Source organism: Homo sapiens, chromosome X (genome assembly GCF_000001405.40).
Source record: "Homo sapiens chromosome X, GRCh38.p14 Primary Assembly".
NCBI lineage: Eukaryota > Metazoa > Chordata > Mammalia > Primates > Hominidae > Homo > Homo sapiens.
Window position 1 is genome coordinate 39,336,711 of NC_000023.11, and position 2,235 is coordinate 39,338,945.

The following is a 2,235-nucleotide window of genomic DNA, read 5'->3' on the forward strand; positions in this document are numbered from 1 at the left end:
TCTTCCAGACTGGGAGCTCCTGGAGCCTGGGGCTGACATCATATTTATATGTGTATTTCTTGTGCCTGGCCTAATGCCTGCATCTCAGAGGAACACCCAGTAACTATTACATTAACAAATGACCTCAGAGACCAAGAAGGAGGATAAAGCTCTTTCCAGGTCTAAAGGCAGGGTTGAAAAAGAGAGGGAGACAATTACAGCCACTGCTTTCTGGCAGAAGACCCACCACGAAGTCCTGCAGTCCTGAGTTACACCACACCCTCATGCACACACTACAAGTCCCACGGCTGCCTTCATATTTACAATATCCCTGTGGCCAGGGCCGTTTCCTGTGTTCGATTTAGATCTATCAATAGAACACACTCTGAGAGTTTCACTTTGTGCTTTGTTTTTCCTCTGTACTAACAACATGAGTGTCCTTATCACAGTCACACTTGCAGGCCCCCAACTCTTGCTCTCTCCTTCAGATTTACTCAGGGCCACAGGAACCCACTGTCACTGAGTGTCTTTGCCAGAAAGCAGAGACTATAATTGTCTCCTCTGTTTCCAAATCCTGGCTTTATATCAAGGAAATTTGATCCTCTCTTTTGGTCCATGCACTTCTGTGTCTTTTTTCCTTATTCTGTTGGTCTCTCTCTCTCTCTCTTTCTCTCCCTTTCTCCCTCTCTCTCTCCCTCTTTATCCCTCTCCCCCCTTATCCCTCTCCCCCTTTCTCTCTTCTCTCTCTCTCTCTCTCTCTTTCTCTTCAAGGACAGAAAAATATCACCAACTTTAATCCGGACTAATCTGCCCATGTGTCCGCCAGGTCTCTAGAAGATGCCGTGGGAAGAGAGAGCAGTGTTTGTGTTTGTCTTTGTGTTGGAAGAGGCACCATCTGTGTGTGGGGGAGCAAACATGAACCAGGGAACCTGCCAAACTCTACACAGGGAGGGGAAGGTGTGGAGTATGCCATCCAGAACCCAATAGCTCCTGCTTCGAGGCTGCCCAATGGGCCCAGAGCTCCTGGAAGGGTGGCTGCTTGGGCTGGCTGTGTGCATTCATGCTGAAGCATTGCCTTTTTCTCCTTGAGTGCCTGCCATTCAGAACCACTGGGATGCAGAGGACACACACACACACCGGTGTTTCCAGCTGTGCCAGAGCCTGGAGCGTGTGAGCTCACAGAAGCCAGCCTTTGCCAACTCAGACCAGGTAGAAACTAAGGACTGGGCAAGGGCTGAGGGTAGAGTTAAAGAAAGCAACCAAATCTGACAGATGAGTGTGCAAGTTTCCCCCTGCCTCAGTTTCCCCAGCTTTCAAAAAGGAATCATACTCTTTACTTGCTTTGTATATGATTTATAAGAATATCATAAACTGTTACCTGCTGAGTGCCTGACACTGTTTCAAAAGCTTTACTTTTATTAATTTATTCAATAGTCACAGCCACTCCACTAGATAGGTACCATTATTTTATCTCCATTTTTCACATAAGAAATGTAGGCACAGAGAGGTTGAATAACTTGCCCAAGGGCACACAATTGGTAAGTGGCAGAGGTGGGATTTGAACCCAGGTAGCCTAGCTCCAGGATCAGTGCTCAGAACAGTCACACTATACTGCTTTGTGATGTGTAAATACAAGTGCTTGAAATAGTCTGAAGTTCCATACAAATGTATTTTCACAAATGAGGTCAGGCAGATACTCTGCTCTGGAGAGATTATTGACTCAGTGTCATAGACTCCTGGACAATTCTTTTGGCTTTTATTATTATTTTTAATTGACACACAATAATTGTACATATTAATCAGGTACAGTGTGATGTTCTGATACATGAGCACAATGTGCGGTGATCAAATCAGGATAAGTACTATATCCATCACCTGAATCATTTACCATTTCTTTGTGTTGGGAACATTCAAAATCCACTCTTCTAGCTATTTGAAAATATATAATTTTTGTTAATTATAGTCACCCTATACTGCTATAGAACACTAGAATTTATTCTTCCTACCTGTTTGTACTCTTGTATCTGTTAACCAACCTCTCCCTATCCTTCCTCCCAACTCCACTCTCTCTAGCCTCTTAGTAATCACTCTTCTACTCTCTACTTCTATCACATCAACTATTTTTAGCTCCCACATGTAAGTGAGAACATGCAGCATCTATCTTTGTGTGGCTCGCTTATTTCACTTAACATAAGGTCCTCCAAGCTCATCCATGTTGCTGCAAATGATGGAATTTTGTTCTTTTTAAAGGCTGAA

The 2,235-nt window shown here is 43.9% G+C and overlaps 1 annotated feature.

The window, feature by feature from the left end:
* Positions 311–390: an enhancer, noted in NCBI's record as "active region_29524". NCBI's record gives its function as "activates an Ori minimal core promoter by ATAC-STARR-seq in GM12878 lymphoblastoid cells {active_cell/tissue: GM12878}" and the evidence as "EXISTENCE:reporter gene assay evidence [ECO:0000049][PMID:35858748]".